The sequence below is a fragment of the Homo sapiens genome, chromosome 18 (assembly GCF_000001405.40).
Source record: "Homo sapiens chromosome 18, GRCh38.p14 Primary Assembly".
NCBI classification, from domain to species: Eukaryota; Metazoa; Chordata; class Mammalia; order Primates; family Hominidae; genus Homo; species Homo sapiens.
The window spans coordinates 63,801,515-63,819,484 of NC_000018.10; the positions used below are offsets into that span (position 1 = coordinate 63,801,515).

Consider the following 17,970-nt stretch of genomic DNA (forward strand, 5'->3'; position numbering starts at 1 on the left):
TGCAAGGCCGACCATGCCACATGGGAGATGAAGTCACTACTACTCAAATCAATCTCCCTGAAGGTTTGGAGGTTAGGAGTTTTCAAGGATAGTTTGGTGGGCAGCGGTCTAGGGAATGAGCACTGTTGATTGGGTGGGGATGCAGTCACAAGCGTGTGTAAAACTGTCCTCATGCACTGAGTCCACCTCTGGACTCTGTGGGGGCCAGAGGACCGGTTTAGTCATGAGTCATGAGTCCAAGTGGAGTTAGTGTCAGAAATGTAAAAGTCTGAAAAGACATCTCAAAAGGCCAGTCTTAGGTTCTACAATAGTGATAGTATCTACAAGAGTCATTGAGGGGGTTACAAATTTTATGGCCTCCATAACAATGATTGGTTAATGTTTACTATCTCTACATCGTGGCGGAATTCAGGCCTCTCTCATAATCATAATCATGTGGTCTTTCATTAGTTTTACAAAGGTGGTTTAGTTTTGGGAAGGGCTACTATGATCCTTGCTTTACATTCAAACTATAAACTAAATTTCTTCCAAAGTTATCTTAGCCTATGCCAAATAATGACCAACAACATCTTGGAGGTTAGCAGCAAGATCAAGTCAACTATGTCAGATTTCCTACTGTTATAATTTTGCAAAGGCAGTTTCATCACTCCATGCTGCTGTGTCTCAAGTGAAAAGCACAGTTTAGGGACTGCCCTGTGACTGATGTGGCAGGAGAAATGGACCAACACAGTGCAATGGGGAGACGGTGGGGGCCGTGCAAGCCAGACACCACCACTGAATCTCAGAGCCTGATCTTTTTTCAGCCCTTTTTCTGCTTTTCCTCCTCCTGAACTTGGCTCTTTGAGTTTGATCTGCAATCTCAGAGGCCTGGACTCATCTCCCTTCTCTATTCTCTCATTAAAAAGGAATAATAGGTGCCATTTATTGAGCACCTACTACATCCCAGGCCATGTGCTCTGAGCTTCATTTATATTACCTTGTTTGATGTTTATAGCAAGCATGTGAGATAGGGAAGGGAGGCTGACAGAATTTGGTCAATTTTTCTGATAGATACATATGTATAGATATGCATATTTGTGTGTATGTATGTGCACACACATATATGTATGTCAGCTATACTGAAAAGTTACATACACTTAAAAGTATTTGTTTTGTTTTGACTTGGAAAATAATGAATATTTGCTGTGGAATAACAGGACAGGGGAATGAATATAAAGAAACAGACATGCCTACCATCCAAGGGGCATTAGTATGATTTAAAAACATGACTTTAAAGCTTTGGAATGACACTTTCTGCATAGACAAAGATTACGGAATTTTAGCAACAACTTTCTTTCATTACGTTTTCATCTTAATTATTTTGACATGAGAAGCAAGAGAAATGTCATAAAATTGGTACTATTAAATCTAAAGTATGACCATATAAAATATTGGTCCTCATATTAAACCTATAATTCACGTGATAATCTTCATAACAGTCAGATTTTAGCATACAGCAATTAGTTTAACTTGAAATAATCTGCAACAGAAAAAGTAGCCCAGATAAAGCAAGCTAACAATATAGTTTTATTCTTGCACTTACTGTCTGAATTTTCCTTTTCAGTAATAGATTTACCTAATAATGTTTGAATCTGACTATTATAAACCTACATACTATACAATCTTAAATACCTGCATAATCTTTCATAACCAGATAACGATGAGGAAGTTGGATCTCAGTGCACTAAATGAAAAAAAAAATTCCAACAGGGTAAAAATATATTACAGATTAACCACAAAACTGGATAACTAAAACAAAAAATTCAAATTAGACTAAATTTGATTGTATAAATTTAGGTCCTTGATAAGAATACAAGTTAAATTTAATATCAGTAAAAAGTTGTTTAGGATTGAAGTTGAGCCTGAATTTAGGAAGAAATGTCCTTATGTAAGATTTCTAAACAATGTTTATGAAAAATCTTCTTATTCTAAATTGAGAATTTATGATCAATTCTCAGTATTCAAGAGCTGGTGAATTGGCTTTGTGAATTGTTTGTGGGCAGCGATGCTGTTGGAGAGAGAGATAAGGACTCTTCTAGCTGTGTAACTAAGGTTGCTTGCTTTGCATTCAGGCATATCCAGCTACATCCTCCTGCACTTCAGTTGCCTCATCTGTTGAGAACAAGAAATTGATTTGAATTCAAGCTTCCCAGACAGTATGGGTAACTGCACTGGGAGATATTGGTCACCCAAACCTTTGAGGCTGGAGCTCTGGCCTCCTTGCCTCAGGCCACGTGGGGTTCCTTTGGTTTACTCCAGTAAGCTGTGCAAACATTATTTTATCTGTCTTTCATGATGAGGAGATGGCTAGGAAATATTGATTTAAATGACCACTGGGCTCCTTTCTCCCTCTAATGGTCTCAAATTCCCAGGTTCCTTCACCTGTCTATTGCTCCACGTTGGCTGTATCTGCTCATGGGTGAGCAGAGAGTGGAATTGCCCTAAGGTGCAAATAAGTCATGCCTTCTCATAGTAGAGCAAATTAAACATGGGATTTGTTTAAAAGTACTTGAGCTATTCATTTTATTCATGTTCTGTTTCAAGACTGCCCAAGACACATTCATGTACTTGAACACAAATATCCAGGAAGCGATAATTATAGAAAACTATGTATCTCTGTAGCTATTGTTTTATCTATCACTTGACCATATGATTCTAAATTATCTCTGAATTATTTTTACAGATTGAAAACAAACTGACCTTTCAGAATCTAATGGAATGGACCAATCCAAGGCGAATGACCTCTAAGTATGTTGAGGTATTTTTTCCTCAGTTCAAGATAGAGAAGAATTATGAAATGAAACAATATTTGAGAGCCCTAGGGCTGAAAGATATCTTTGATGAATCCAAAGCAGATCTCTCTGGGATTGCTTCGGGGGGTCGTCTGTATATATCAAGGATGATGCACAAATCTTACATAGAGGTCACTGAGGAGGGCACCGAGGCTACTGCTGCCACAGGAAGTAATATTGTAGAAAAGCAACTCCCTCAGTCCACGCTGTTTAGAGCTGACCACCCATTCCTATTTGTTATCAGGAAGGATGACATCATCTTATTCAGTGGCAAAGTTTCTTGCCCTTGAAAATCCAATTGGTTTCTGTTATAGCAGTCCCCACAACATCAAAGAACCACCACAAGTCAATAGATTTGAGTTTAATTGGAAAAATGTGGTGTTTCCTTTGAGTTTATTTCTTCCTAACATTGGTCAGCAGATGACACTGGTGACTTGACCCTTCCTAGACACCTGGTTGATTGTCCTGATCCCTGCTCTTAGCATTCTACCACCATGTGTCTCACCCATTTCTAATTTCATTGTCTTTCTTCCCACGCTCATTTCTATCATTCTCCCCCATGACCCGTCTGGAAATTATGGAGAGTGCTCAACTGGTAAGGAGAACGTAGAAGTAGCCCTAGGGATCCTTTTTGAAACTCTACAGTTATCGCAGATATTCTAGCTTCATTGTAAGCAATCTAGGAAATAAGCCCTGCTGCTTTCTAGAAATAAGTGTGAAGGATAAATTTTCTTTGTTGACCTATGAAGATTTTAGAGTTTACCTTCATATGTTTGATTTTAAATCAGTGTATAATCTAGATGGTAAAAAATGTGAAATTGGGATTAGGGACCAACCAAAATATTTCATTAATGCTTTCAATTGACAAATTTTGGTCTTTCTTTGATAAGACAATATGTACATAGTTTTTTCAAATATTAAAGATCTTTTAACTGTTGGCAGTTGTTATCTACAGAATCATATCTCATATGCTGTGTAGTTTATAAGTTTTTTCTCTATTTATCAGAATAAAGAAATACAACATACCTGTACAGTGTGATTGTTTTCCTCTGACCAATTGTAGGACAACTAGGGCTTTCTTTGTTTTCTAGGCAAAGCAAGCAAGCAAGCAAGCAAGCAAGAATTCTTTTATAATATGTTTGATTTGATTCAATGTGGCTCGTTTATTACACATAAAATTGCTTATACAGATATATAGACTGATGAACTAATTTTAAGCAGTAGTATTTAAATTCATGAGGGAAATGATTTGTGTATATGAATATTTATAATAAGCCATCTGTAATTTTATAAACAGAAGAAAAATAAATTGAGAATCAGTAGATCATGCTGAACTTACTTATGAGTTTGTAAACAATGAGTCCATTGAATTATATTTTCATCAAAAAACACTTTTACCTGAATAGGAACTGTATAAATCAATGATAGCCTACTGCATGTCTCTGCAGTGCTTAATACCAGACCTGGCAGATACCTAATTTTCAACAAATATTGTGGAATCTAAAAATATGATATAAATGAGTAAATATGACATGACTTGAAATATGTAGAAAATCTCTTGACCAAAATAATTTAACCACTAACCTGTGGCACCCGAACTATTACAGCTTTCAGGACATTTATGGAGAGTGAATTTCAGTGGCATGTTTTGAGAGAGGAATTGATTTTTCTGATCACCATTCCAATCTATGACCGTTCAAAGCATGACCTCAGGAAATAGGCGATGGGAACATGCATTCGGCTGGTGGCCATATTGTGTTGGGGGTTAGGTATCGACATACGGACTTGGGGAGATCACAAACATTCACACGTAGCACTATAGACAAACTAAATACAAAATTTCTCTGCAATTTTGGTTGGTTCGTCCTGCCCATATGTCCATCTCATGTTTAAGGGTCCCAACTTATTCAGAGAATGGCTATATTGTGTAGTCATGATCTAGGCTTTAGTTTAGTGGAACTTTCATAAGCTTGAAACAGCTTCTGAAACTGTGGTGCCTGTGGAATCATCGATCTTTTCTGTTGAATGTTGTCAAACATCAGGATCAACAGCAGCAAAGGTAACATCTGTTCAGCTCCTCTCTTACCATTGAAGTTCATGCTTCCTGGGACAGGATTCGTGTCTGATTTGTTTTTGTATCCTCACAATCCCAGAGCAATACTTGACATATGGTAGGCACTCAGTATATCTTTAGAATAAATATAGTCATTCGTTTCAAGAACATGATTTGAGTTGGAAAGAAGAACATAGGGACCACTTTAGTATAAGGACATGTCACTGACCTTGTAATGGATTCTTTTTTATACAAAGATGACTTTTCGTCTTTCAGGTTCATAATTCTTTAATCTGTTTATTAACCACAGTTATTTGCAGGGTTCTTCTCCTCTTTTTCAAAATTCTTTCTATATATAATTCCATCCAGTCACATGGCTTCAATAATTGCTGGTGACAACTATCTATATGCTTAACTTCATCTTGATTCACAATTGCCTCCTGATAAATCCACCTGAATGTCCTAGGGTGAAACTAAACACATCTAAGAGGAAACACATACCCCTTTCCTTGAGTTTGTTATCCAGTCTTCGGTGCTCATTGTGGTCCTTTGACTAAAACTCAAACACGAAACATCAAGATGATCCTTGTATCTTCCTCCTTTTTCACAATGGAACTGTTTATTGGTGTTACCATGAAAATGACTCTTGAATATATCCTGTTTTCTTCTTTTTCATTAACACTGACCTTGTTTAGGCTGCATTTCTTCTCTGGATTCGTCTCGTATCTGTTCTACCTGTCTCTTGTGACTCTTACTTTTCTCTCACTTTTAAAGTTGTGAAGATATTCTATGTTTTCATCTATAAATGCCAGTTTTCTACCTAAAACACAGATCAGATCAAGTTCATATTCTTATAAAACACTGACAGCTCTTCACCCTCTCAGGATAGAGTCTAAACTTTCTAATACGACATTCAAAGCCTTCCCACAAGGTTACTCTACCTTCCTTTTCCTATTTGTTTTGCCACTCTCTGCCAAAGACTCTAACCTGAGGTAACTTGTACTATTTGGAAACCAAATCCACTACTCTCACATTGTTTAGCTTGTCCCATCTGACTGGGATGCTCTCTCTATCTTTGTTTGATAAGACTCATTTAATTGTTCAAGAAACTGGCCATGTTCATGTTCTCTGTGTAGCTTTTCACTCAGCTGGACTCAAAGAACACATTGTGCATCCTTGTATGAGAGCTGTGTTCAGATTTCTTGCTATGTGTTGTTTGTGTGTGTGCACGTCTATATGCGTATGTATGTGCATGTATGTTGTGTGGTGTCTCGCTAGCTAACAAACTCTTTAAGGACAGAAAATGGCATATGGTAGGTATCCCTTTCAAATGTCAAATGAAAAAACTCCCTTAGAGTCCTAAGAAAGGAACAAAGTCAGAGTACAAGTGCAGACTGTATCCAGCCCTAATTCCCACCTCCACCAGGGGCTCCTGAGAACTTTCTATGTTCTGCTAGTCATATGCCAAAGCCCATATGAAGGCACAATCTTGATCTCTAAGGTGGGCGAAGGAGCACTACTGGATCTTCTGTTATTAGAGGGGTAGGAGGAAGTGTGTTTCATTCATCTCTCAATGCCCAGGCGAAGCATTACTGTCATCATCTTCACAATCATTTTCTTCATTGCCATTCCTGCTTCATCACTTACAAAACAATTTCCCAGGCTTCATCTCAATTGTCAGTACAGTTGTGTGAAGTGGGAGTTATTATGATTATTATTGTTATTTCTATTTCATAAGAAAAATAATGTTCAGAGAGGAGAGGCAATTTCCCAGGATCATGTGTGCTGTTTCCCTCATAACATGCTGTTGTGGACTTCATTACAAATCTTACTTATGCCTCAGCTGTGCTCAGAGTCCTCTCATTTCATGCCCCAGAATGTCACATGGCTCACTTCTTCCCTGGCATTCGTACTGACTGATCAAGCATCGTTGATGACCTCAGATTTTCTTGGAACACCGCACCTCTTACAAATTTGGACAAGTCCATAATGGCTATGTGTTCTCGTGTTTGGGTAGTTTAGACATTTAGGTGATTTCCCTTGGCTTGATATTATTTATAATAATCTTCCTGAGAGTTTCTATAACAGGAATAATATTGTAAACTCTCCAAATAATAAACTCTTAAGTATAAACTCACTGAGAGAAGAGACAGCTTCTGCTCCCTTTGTAATCTCTGGCACATTGTAGACAACTTCACTGACTGATTGATGCTACTTATCCAGGGAAAGGCAGTATATGTATCTTTAATCATTTGGACATTTCTTGACACTAATGTTTCATTTCTATTCCTGCAGACAAAACTAGAATGTGTGAAAACCCATGGCTAGAATAGTATTTATAAACCTAAACCTCCTGTTAGATATCATCAGCACCTTCAAAAGAGAAAGCCACAGAAGTCTTACCTAATAAAACAGGTAACAGCCTGGTTAACAAAACTTAATTGCATAGTTGGACATTCCTTGTTACTCTTTGTTCCTTGCCTATAGCATTGTGAACCAAAACAAGAATACCACTGTCCTTGAAATATAAGAATACTTTAGTGAAACTAAAGTGACTAAACCTTTACAAATAGTTTGACTCTTAATGAATGTTGTATAATTTAAACAAAGCAAAATAACATAACTCTATATTATCAGTTCATTGAGAAGAAAGAAAAAGTGATCCGAATGGAAAGGGAAGTGTGGATGGAGCAGAAATTCTTTCTAGATATTTTAAAAACAATCTATTTTACATTATACCATTCTCCCACCCCATGGTTGTGCCTCTTCAGACAATACTCTTCAGTGTGACTAAGAGTCTTAGTCTTAGGCTAGAAGGAGTGGTCACAATTTCCACAGGCATAGCAGGGAAATAAATGTGATGAGTGAGGGCAGATGAGCTATGGACATGTGAAGCAGGGGTTTCTACACTATTCCCGAAGTTTGGGAAGACTTCCTGGAGGAAGGGATGCTGTGGCTCAGATGTGGAACAATGAGTAGGAGTAGGAGGAATGGGAGGAGAAGGAGAGAGGGTTCCAGTGGGTGCAACAGCATGATCCAGGGCCCACAGTGAGAGAATACAGTCTCCTCGGATTCCTGCAAGGATGTAGAGGGCATAAGCGCAGTGAAAGGTGGGTTGGGGAGGGGCAGTAGGCAGGCCACAGAGGGCCTTGGACAGTAGGATGAAGAGTTTGCTTTGGTTCTAAGATGACTGCAAAGGCATTGAAGGGCTCTAAGGAGAGGAGTGAACCTCTCTGCTTTGAATTTCTGAAGGGTTGTGTTTGCTGATTTGTGGGCATGGGGCTAGAGTGTTACGAGACTTGACAGGGAGAAATGGACAGTGGTCCAGGTGAGAAGCGATGGTGGCCTAACCTAGAAGATGGGTCTTGGGAATGCGCATAGTGAATGAAGGTGACAGATTTGGGAGGCAGCCTGACTGGTCAGGACTCTGTGAACGACTGGATGAATGTGGCAGTAAAAGGGGAGGACTTCTCAAGATTCAACTTCACAATCTTTAAACAACTGTAACATCACCAGCCAGAGCAGAGGGGAGGGGAAGACAGAAGAAGGGGAGAAGCTGGATGGCAGGGGCATCCCTGTAAGGCCACTGGAGCTGTTATTGTAACGGTTCTTTACTTTTGAACTAAGCACTCCTTTTGAAAATCAGATTTAGGGGTATCCAAAAATGCACACGAAAGAATTTAGGTATATAATTTTAAGAAGTTCAAAGAGCTCCTGAATCCCATTCATAGATTCCCTAGGTTACAAATCCCTGTCACTTATACCTAAATTAGGGCATACCGGATGGGAACCATCCATCGTAGCACAAAGAAAGTGAAGTGTAAGAGCCATGGACCACTAGATAGATGCACTTTCTATGGGACTAGGGCTCTAGGATGATCTGTGCCTTTAAACATCCTGCACAATAGGCAGGGATGCACCACCTCACTCGTAACTATTAATTAGAGTCTTTATAGACAATAGACTTTATAGGCAAGAGAAACCGGTAAATGTTTCATTAAAGATAATACCATAGATGTCATTGACCACACCCAGCCACCTCTTTGCAAATAACCTCTGGTTCTGTGACTAGACATTTAGTGAATATTAACCTTTTAAAAAGTATCTGTTCCTTGGGTCTATCAGAGAACAGTGTCTCTAGAGGCATCAGGGTCTTTGAGAAGTTGATAGCATTTATTCTTTCATTATGAATTCCTTTTTTTTCCCTCTTTGTCCTTGAATCCAAATCCTCCTTAAGACTGTAGATGAGAGAAGTCAGGTTCTTCAAACTGCTGGACTGATTCAAGGTGTGTTTCTTTGAGCCTAGAGACGATTTTAATAGTTGTTTTATAGTTCATCTCTCTCCAGAGCAAGATGAATACTGTCCCCTTTTCTTACTCAAGTGTTTCCACACAAGTCCTTAGCTCCTCAACGAGTGATCCCATGCCTCCTGTCTCTGTTTTAAATGGCTCCTTTGCTAGAAGTGGGTACTGGTATTTGGAGTGTTTCAGTGAGGTGAGTTGGCTCTCTGAAAGAGCTAGGTCTTCTTGAGAATATAGACCATGCATCCTGGATGTCTCTCACTAACGTCGTAAATGATTAGTTTGTTTCCTTTTTTTTCCCTTCCCCTTTTGAAAATTTCAGAAACAAGCGAACCATTAGGCATTTTTCTACTGGCTTCTGTGCCATTTCTTTTCACACTCCTTAGGGTAAAGCCAAACAGTGCTTAATTGTTTGAGAGGGAAGGCATTTGTCATTTCTGTTTTCTGAAAACCATAACTTAAGCTTTTACTCTTGTGTGTACAATAATTTTGTAATATTTACTATCAAGTTACATAAAGTTTTATAAAGGAAACTATTGGGTTAGTTTCCTTTGTAACTATACTTTGTGCCTATTTTTACATTATTTATACAAATCAGGCTCATTTTATGAAAATACAAATATCTAAATCTTGCCTTTTCTCTTTACTTTTTATTTCCATGAATCTTTTTCTTCCATTAATTAACCTCTTCTTCCTCTGTAGATGTCCATAGTTTGGATTCCCTTTTAAAAAGTAGAAGCTTTTCTTTCTGTATATGTTTATACATGCGCAATTTGATTAAAAGGAGTTAATATGAGTGCCTGGCTTTGATTTTAATTACACCCAATTAGTGTTAGCTAATAATTTGTTGGGGATATTCTTTATGAGAAAGTCAAAAATATGTATCTTTAATTTTAGAGAAAAATATGTTCAGGATATAGTTGTTTAATTTACAGGGGTCAAATGAAAGACAAAACTTCTTAAGGAATACAGATGAAATGAAACAACTCAATCAAGATGCCTAATATCAACATACAGATAGGATCTTCTGTTGGTCAATTGGACACAAACACACAAAATTATCCCTTATAGAAGTTAACTGCTATGCACTGAACAATTTGAGAAGACTAATCTTTTTTTTTCTTTTTTTCTTTTTTTGGTTTTTTATTAAGACAGAGTCTTGCTCTGTCATCCAGGCTGGAGTGCAGTGGCACAAGCTCGGCTCACTGCAACCTCTGCCTCTCTGGTTCAAGTGATTCTCCTACCTCAGCTGGGATTACAGGCATGTGCCACCACACCTGGCTAATTTTTATATTTTTATTAGAGATGGGGTTTCACCATGCTGGCCAGGCTAGTCTTGAACTCCTGACCTCAGTTGATCCATCCACTCCCAAAATGCTGGGATTACAGATGTGAGCCACCACACCAGGCCATCCTTTCTATCCATGCACTATGTTAAAGGACTTACCTAGTGCTTAATTCTTCTTTTGAAAAATGAAGTTGTTCATGGTGTCTCATGCTTATAATCCCAGCACTTTGGGAGGCCAAGCAGGAGGATTGCTTGAGGCCAGGAGTTGGAGACTAGCCTGGGCAACATAGAGAGACCTCATCTTGACAAAAAAAAAAAAAACATTTTGAAAAGTGCTCTGAGTATGGTGGCATATGTCTGTAGTCCCAGCTACACAGGAGGCTGAGGAGGGAGGATTGCTTTCAGGAGTTCAAGGCTGCAGTGAGCTATGATTATGCCACTGTACTCCAGCCTGGGTGACAGAGCAAGATACCATCTTTAAATAAATAAATAATAATAATAAGCGAAAAAACATGAGGTAATTGGGCCATATCAGTGTTTTGTAATGTTGGGATGGAACCTATCTGTAGGTTGTAAAAACAATTTAGAGAATTGCCACCAGTGTTTTAAAAATATAAAATAATACAGTAGAAAAGGAAATATCAGAATGCATTAGTAGTAGTAGTTAGCAGAAGTTTTTTTGTAAAACACTTGAATATGTATTCTGGATCACTGTTGGAATTTCTTAGTTGGAATCCCAAATCCCTGAAGAAATGCTTTCTAAGGCCTTTAGTTCTAATATTTGAAGACACAGTATTGGTCTCTGAGTTGGGGCTGCAGCTGATTTGTAGTTTGCTTTAAGTGGGAATCCTGCCTACATTTGTTGTGAGATATGTTTGAAACCCTTATGCAACAAAGATTTCAGGGAAAGCAATTTGTTACCAGTTCCCAAGACAAAGTGCTTCCTCTCTGGCTTTTAAACACCAGTAATTTATTGTCATAGTCAGAGGGTGTATATAATGTAATATGTGTGTGTCTCTGTGTGTGTATGTATCACATTTAATTTTTAACACCTAATATATTTTATAATTATAAAACAACATTTGATTTGTTGTATAGAATGCATGACATTAGATGTTTCATTAATATTCTTCTACATCTTTTGGGCCATTGTTTTGACCCAGGGAAACTGTGTGTCTCACAATGTATGCGTCAGCTAGCTCATGCTCTACCCCGTTGTACAAATACTTTAAATCGCTTCACAATGCAAGGAAAAAAGACTTGTGGAACCAAATTCTAAGAAGACAAGGGAGGAGCCAGCTGAGTGCTGGTGTAGCTGTGTATTTCAGACTCAACTCTGGGCTCACCAAGCAGAACTTGAGAAAACTTGAAGATGAAGTAAAAATGTGAGCACTAAATTGTACTTTCTTTGAGGTGATTTTTGTAACTGGTGATGATTTTATACAGGATAAAATATTTAGTTGTAATCAAAGGAAAAGGGCAATGTGAGGCACCTGGTGTGGGGGGCTATAGGTGTGGAGAGGGAGACACAAATTTATAAGAATGCTGCATACTTCACTTTCAAGTTACTGAATGAGCTTGTTGATGTCATGGTTTCCAATACTGTAGAGAGCTGTTCCTGTTGCCAATCTTCATTTTCAGGTTAATGTGAGGATTTAAAGGATGATAGAACTAAGACTGAATGAGTAATTTTGTAAATGCCTATGAATACCCAAAGGAGAAATTGTACCATGCAGTACCAAAATTTAGATTCTGTTTTTTTTCTCTTAAAGTTTTATTTTAGATGCAGAGGGTATGTGTACATGTTTATCACATGGATATATTGCATGATGCTGAGGTTTGGGGTATGGATCCCATCACTCAGGTAGTGAGCATAGTACTCAACAGGTCGTTTTTCAACTCATTCTCCCCTTCTCCCCACTACCCCCAGAAGTCCCCAAGGTCTATTGTTCCCATCTATGTCCACGTGTACTCAATGTTTAGTGCCCACTTATAAGTGAGAACATATGACATTTAGTTTTCTGTTTCTGGGTTAACTTACTTAGGATAATGGCCTCCAGCTGAATCCATGTTCCTGCAAAGGACATGATTTTGTTTATTTCTGTGGCTGTGTAGGATTCCATGGTGTATATATACCATGGAATCTTTATCCAGTCCTCTGTTGCTGGTCATCTTGGTTGCTTCCATGTTTTTGCTTTTGTGAATCGCACTGTGATGGACATTTGAGTGTGTGTGTCTTTTTGGTAGAACACTTTATTTTCCTTTGAGTATATATCCAATAATGGGATGGCTGGGTAATGGTAGCTGTGTTTTAAGCTCTTTGAGAAATCTCCAACATGCTTTCTACGGTGGCTGAACTAATTTACATTCTCACCAACAGTGTATAAGTGTTTCCTTTTCTCTGCAGCCTTGTCAGCATCTGCTATTTTTTGACTTTTTAATAATAGCCATTCTGACAGGTGTGAGATGGTATCCTGTTGTTTTGATTTGCATTTCTCTGATGATTTGTGAGGATTAACATTTTTTCATATGTTTTTTGGCCATTTGTCTTCTTTTGTGCAATCTGTTCGTGTCTTTTGCCCACTTTTGATAGATTTATCTGTTTTTGCTATAATTTTGTTTATCTGATGAATCATATTTATTGATTTGTGTATGCGAAACAGCCTCGCATCCCAGGAATAAAGCCTACTTGATTGTGGTGTATTAACTTCTTGATGTTTTGCTGGATTTGGGTTGCTAATGTTTCGTTGAGGATTTTTGTGTCTATGTTCAGCAGAGATATTAAACTGAAGTTTTCTTTTTTCATTGTGTCTCTGCCAGCTTTTGCTGTCAGGGTGATGCTATCTTCATAGGATGAGTTATGGAGGAGCCCCTCCTCCTCAATTTTTGGGAATAGTTTCAATAAAATTGGTACCAGTTATTCTTTGTACATCTGGTAGAATTTGGTTGTGAATCTATCTGGCCCACGACTATTTTTAGTTGGTAGCTTTTTATTACTGATTCAATTTCAGAACTTGTTATTGGTCTGTTCAAGTTTTCACTTTCTTTCTGATTCAGTCTTGAAAGGTTGTGTGTTTCCAGGAATTTATTGGTTTCCTCTAGATTTTCTAATTTGTGTGCATAGACTCATTCACAATAGCCCCTGAGGATCTTTTGTATTTCTGTAGGATCAGTTGTAATGTCATCTTTGTCATTGCTGGTTGTACTTACTTCAGTCTTCATTGTGTTAATCTGGCTAGTTGTCTAGCAATCTTATGTATTCTTTCAAAAAACCAACTCTTGGTTTTATTGATCTTCTGTATGGATTTTTGCATCTCAATTTCATTCAGTTCCTCTATAGTTTTAGATACTTCTTTTCTTTGGCTAGCTTTGGGGGGTTTTTTCTCTTTTTTTTTCCTCTTTGTCCTCTAGGTGCCATTTTAGTTTGTTAGTTTGAGATCTTTCTAACTGTTTGATGTAGGCATTTTAGTGCTATAAACTTTCCTATTAACACTGCTTTAGCTGCATTCCAAGGATGTTGGTTAAGTTGTGCCTCTATTTTCATTAACTTCAAACAATTTTTTTTTATTTCTGCCTTAAAAGAGTTGTTCAGAAGCAAGTTGTTTAATTTTCATGTATATGTGTATGTTTGAAAGATCTTCTTGCTATTGATTTCTGTTTTTAATGCACTGTGGTTTGAGATTGTCCTTGTTATAATTTCAATTTTTTGAATTTATTGAGACTTGCTTTATGATCAAGCATGTAGTTGATCTTAGAATATGTTCTGTGTGCAGATGAGAAGAATGTATAGTTTGTGGTTGATTGGTAGAGCATTCTGTGCATGTCTTTTAGGTCCAATTGGTTGAGTGTCAAGTTCAAGTACAGAATTTCGTCGTTAGATTTCTGTGTCAATGATTGGTCTAACAGAGTCAATGGGATGTTGAAGTCTCCCAGCATTATTGTGTGGCTGTCTAAATATTTTCATAGGTCATGAAGGACTGGTTATAGATCTGGGTGCTTCAGTGTTGGGTGAATATATATTTAGGATAGCTAACTCTTCTTGTTGACTTGAACCCTTTATCATTATGTAATGCCCTTCTTTGTCCTTCCTGAATGTTGTTGATTTAAAATCTGTTTCATCTGATATAAGAGTAGTGACTCCTGCTCCTTTTTTTTTTTGTTTTCTGTTTGCATGGTAGATCTTCCTCCATCCCCTTACTCTGAGCCTTTGGGTGTCCTTACATGTAAGATGGGTTTCTTGAAGACAGCAGGCAGTTTGGTATTGCCTTTTTATCCAGTTGCCATTCTATGCCTTTTAAGTGCAGCATTTAGACCATTTATATTCAGGGTTAATATTGATTTCTGAGAGTTTTATTTTGTTATTGTGTTTATATCAGGTTGTTTTGTAGACTTGATTGTGTAGTTGCATTATAGTGTCTCTGGGCTGTGTGTTTAAGTGTAGTTTTATGGTAACAGGTGTCATTCTTTCATTTCTATGTTTAGCACTCTCTTAGGACCTCTTGTAAGGCTGGTCTAGTTGTAATGAATTCCCTCAGCATTTGCTTGTCTGAAAAGGATTCTATTTCTCCTTCACTTAGGAAGTTTAGTTTGGTGGGATATGAAATTCTTGCTTGGAATTTCTTTTCTTTTCTTTTTTCGTTCTTTCTTTTTTGAGACAAGAGTCTCGCTCTGTCACCCAGGCTAGAGTGCAGTGGCACGATCTCGGCTCACTGCAAGCTCCACCTCCTGGGCTCATGCCATTTTCCTGCCTCAGCCTTCTGAGTAGCTGGGACTACAGGCAACCACCACCAAGCCTGGCTAATTTCTTTGTATTTTTAGTAGAGACGGGGTTTCACTGTGTTAGCCAGGATGGTCTCGATCTCCTGACCTCATGATCTGCCCACCTCTGTCTCCCAAAGTGCCGGAATTACAGGCGTGAGCCACCATGCCCGGCCTTGGAATTTCTTTTCTTTAGGAATGTTGAAAATAGGCCCCCAATCTCTTCTGACTTATTAAGGTTTCTGCTAAGAGTTCTGCTTCTAGCCTGATGGAGTTCTTTTTGTACATGACCTGCCCCTTCTCTCTAGCTGCCTTTAAGATTTTTTTCTTTCATGTTTTCCTTGATGAATCTGATGACTATGTGCCTCAGAGATGGTGGTCTTGTATAGTATCTCACCAAGGTTCTCTGTATTTCTTGAATTTGTATGTCAACCTAACAAGATTGGGGAAATTTTTGTGGACTATATGTTCAAATATGTTTTCCAAGTTGCTTACCCTCTTCCCTCTTTCAGCAATGCCAGTGAGTCATAAATTCTATCTCTTTGCAAAATCCCATATTTCTTGGAGGTTTTATTCATTTTTTTAAATTATTTTTCTTTATTTTTGTAAGGCTCCATTGATTCAAAGAACTAGTCCTTGAGCTCTAAGATTCTTTTCTTGGCATGGTCTATTCTATTCTGCTGTTAACACTTCTAATTATATTATGAAATTCTTGTAGTGAATTGTCCAATTCTAGAAGTTCAGTTTGGTTCTTTCTTAAAATGTCTATTTTTGTCTTTCAGCTCTTGGATTGTTTTACTGGATTCTTTGGATTCCTTGGTTTGGGTTTCAACTTTTTCCTGAAGCTCAATGAACTGCCTTGGCAGCCATATTCTGAATTCTATGTCTGTCATTTCAGTCATTCCAATCTGCCTAAGAACCACTGTTGGGAAGCTAGTGGAATCATTTGTAGATAAGGGGATACTTTGGATTTTTGAGTTGTAGAGATCTTGGACTGATTCTTTTTCATCTGAAAGGGCTGATGTATCTTTAACTATGGCATAAGTTGAGTATAGTCAATTGGCTTTATTTCTGGATGCTTTCAGAGGGCTAAGTCTCTGTACAAGATCTTTATTTGTGATTGGATTCTTGCCCTGAGTGTCATAGGAATGTTTATTGGAAGAATAATTTTTTATGTGATTTGGGCTGTGATCCAGTGGATGTTGCTTAAGAGTAATGGCTAGCAGATAGGCCCTTACTCAGCTGCATGGTTATTTTGTATTTCCACACGTTTGTAGCCATGCTCTGTGGTGGGGATGCAGAGAGATGATCCCCTCACTAGGTTCACTCCTGGGCCTCAGGAGAGCCCCCTCCAAACACTGGCACTGTCTGTGTTTCTTTTATTGGGTTAACAGGGCTCCCTCTGTGGGGCTCCCTCAGGTAGATGCCATGGCTAGGAGACAGGCCACACCCTTCCTGGTCTGGTCTTATGTAGGGAGGCACATCCTGTTCCCATGCCAGTCTGCAAACCCATGAGTCTCACCCCTCTCAGTGTTCTGAGAGTGGGGGTGTCCTCCTCCAGTTGAGTGTTAGCCATAGATCTCTGCTTGGCACTCCTGAGCTGCACACTGCAGCCCTGGAGTGCCAGGACTGGACTGAAGCTCTGTCTTCTGGACTCTTGGAATCAGGCAACAGTTATGCTGGGGGATGTGAAGTGCTTCCTGGCCACAGGGAAGTACTCAGGTAGAGCCTCTGGTAGAGCACTCATACTGAGCAGTGGAGGCTGTGTTGTGCACTGGCTTCTGTGGGAGTGGCCAGGCAGCGTCCCTGGGAGGGCCTGTCAGGCATGAGAGCCTGCAGAACAGAAGCACCCCAGTCCTGCTGAGAAACTGGTCCCACTCTCTCTTGGACCTGCAGTCTGCTGGGGCTAGAGCTACTCAGAGGGAGATGGGGTGCCCTTGGGGATGGGGACCTCTGACAGCATGCTGCTACAGCTGCAACATGTGCCAAAGTCCCTGGATTCTGCCCAGGTTGGAGCTGGGTCTCTGCCTACTCTCCAGGGAGATCTTCCTGCCAGCTGAAATGTTTATGAGGAGCATGAGATCTCTTGTAGCTAATATCTCAGAGGTCTTTGGCAACAGTGGGAAGCCCCTCCAACCCTACACTCACCCCTTCCCTAGAAACTGCTCAGGCCTAGAAATTAGCCCTAGCATTCAGCAACCCCACGCAGGGTTCCTAGCTTCCTCCTCTTCAGGCTTGGTGTCTGCATCTTTTCTCTATCAACTGTTGGTGTTGCCACTCCAGAGGTCTCCTCAAAGTATGTCGGTTTACCGACTATTTTGTTCTCTCTTAGTGGGGGCAATGTTTCCTGGCTGTGTTTAGCTGGCCATTTTGTCTCTATCTGTCAAATTAGAGGGAAAGGTACTGGAAAATTAGAGGAAAATTAGCTTTTTATTCTGAATTTGGTGTTTTCTGGATGTGTGGACTTGAGCAAGTCAGGTAGCCCTCCCTTCAGTTTCTCCATTTGTAGGATTTGGGGGTAGACACTTTTCTTTTCAAATCCATGACTCCTCTTTGGGTTAAATCTATATTTCTTAGAAGGGCAAAGGAAGATAACATTATTGAGTGACTTTTCTCTTTAGAGGCTTTCTAGTCACCATTTAACAAGCTTTGTAAAAGTGTAAGGTATCTTCTATTATCCCTAGTTTATGTGTACAGGTGCAGAAAAGTAAGTTGCTACATACATAGCAAAAGACAGAT

At 38.9% G+C, this 17,970-nt stretch overlaps 1 protein-coding gene across 5 annotated transcripts in view; it reads left to right on the forward strand.

Moving 5' to 3' along the window:
* The window catches only part of SERPINB7 (serpin family B member 7), a 52,314-nt gene extending 48,458 nt beyond the window's left edge, over positions 1 to 3,856 (forward strand). For all 5 annotated transcript variants that reach the window (NM_001040147.3, XM_024451278.1, NM_003784.4 and 2 more), the window contains one exon: positions 2,723 to 3,856. In NM_001040147.3, coding sequence (NP_001035237.1) covers positions 2,723 to 3,121 — 399 coding nt within the window. In that variant the 3' untranslated portion in view covers positions 3,122 to 3,856. The remainder of the gene's footprint in view (positions 1 to 2,722) is intronic.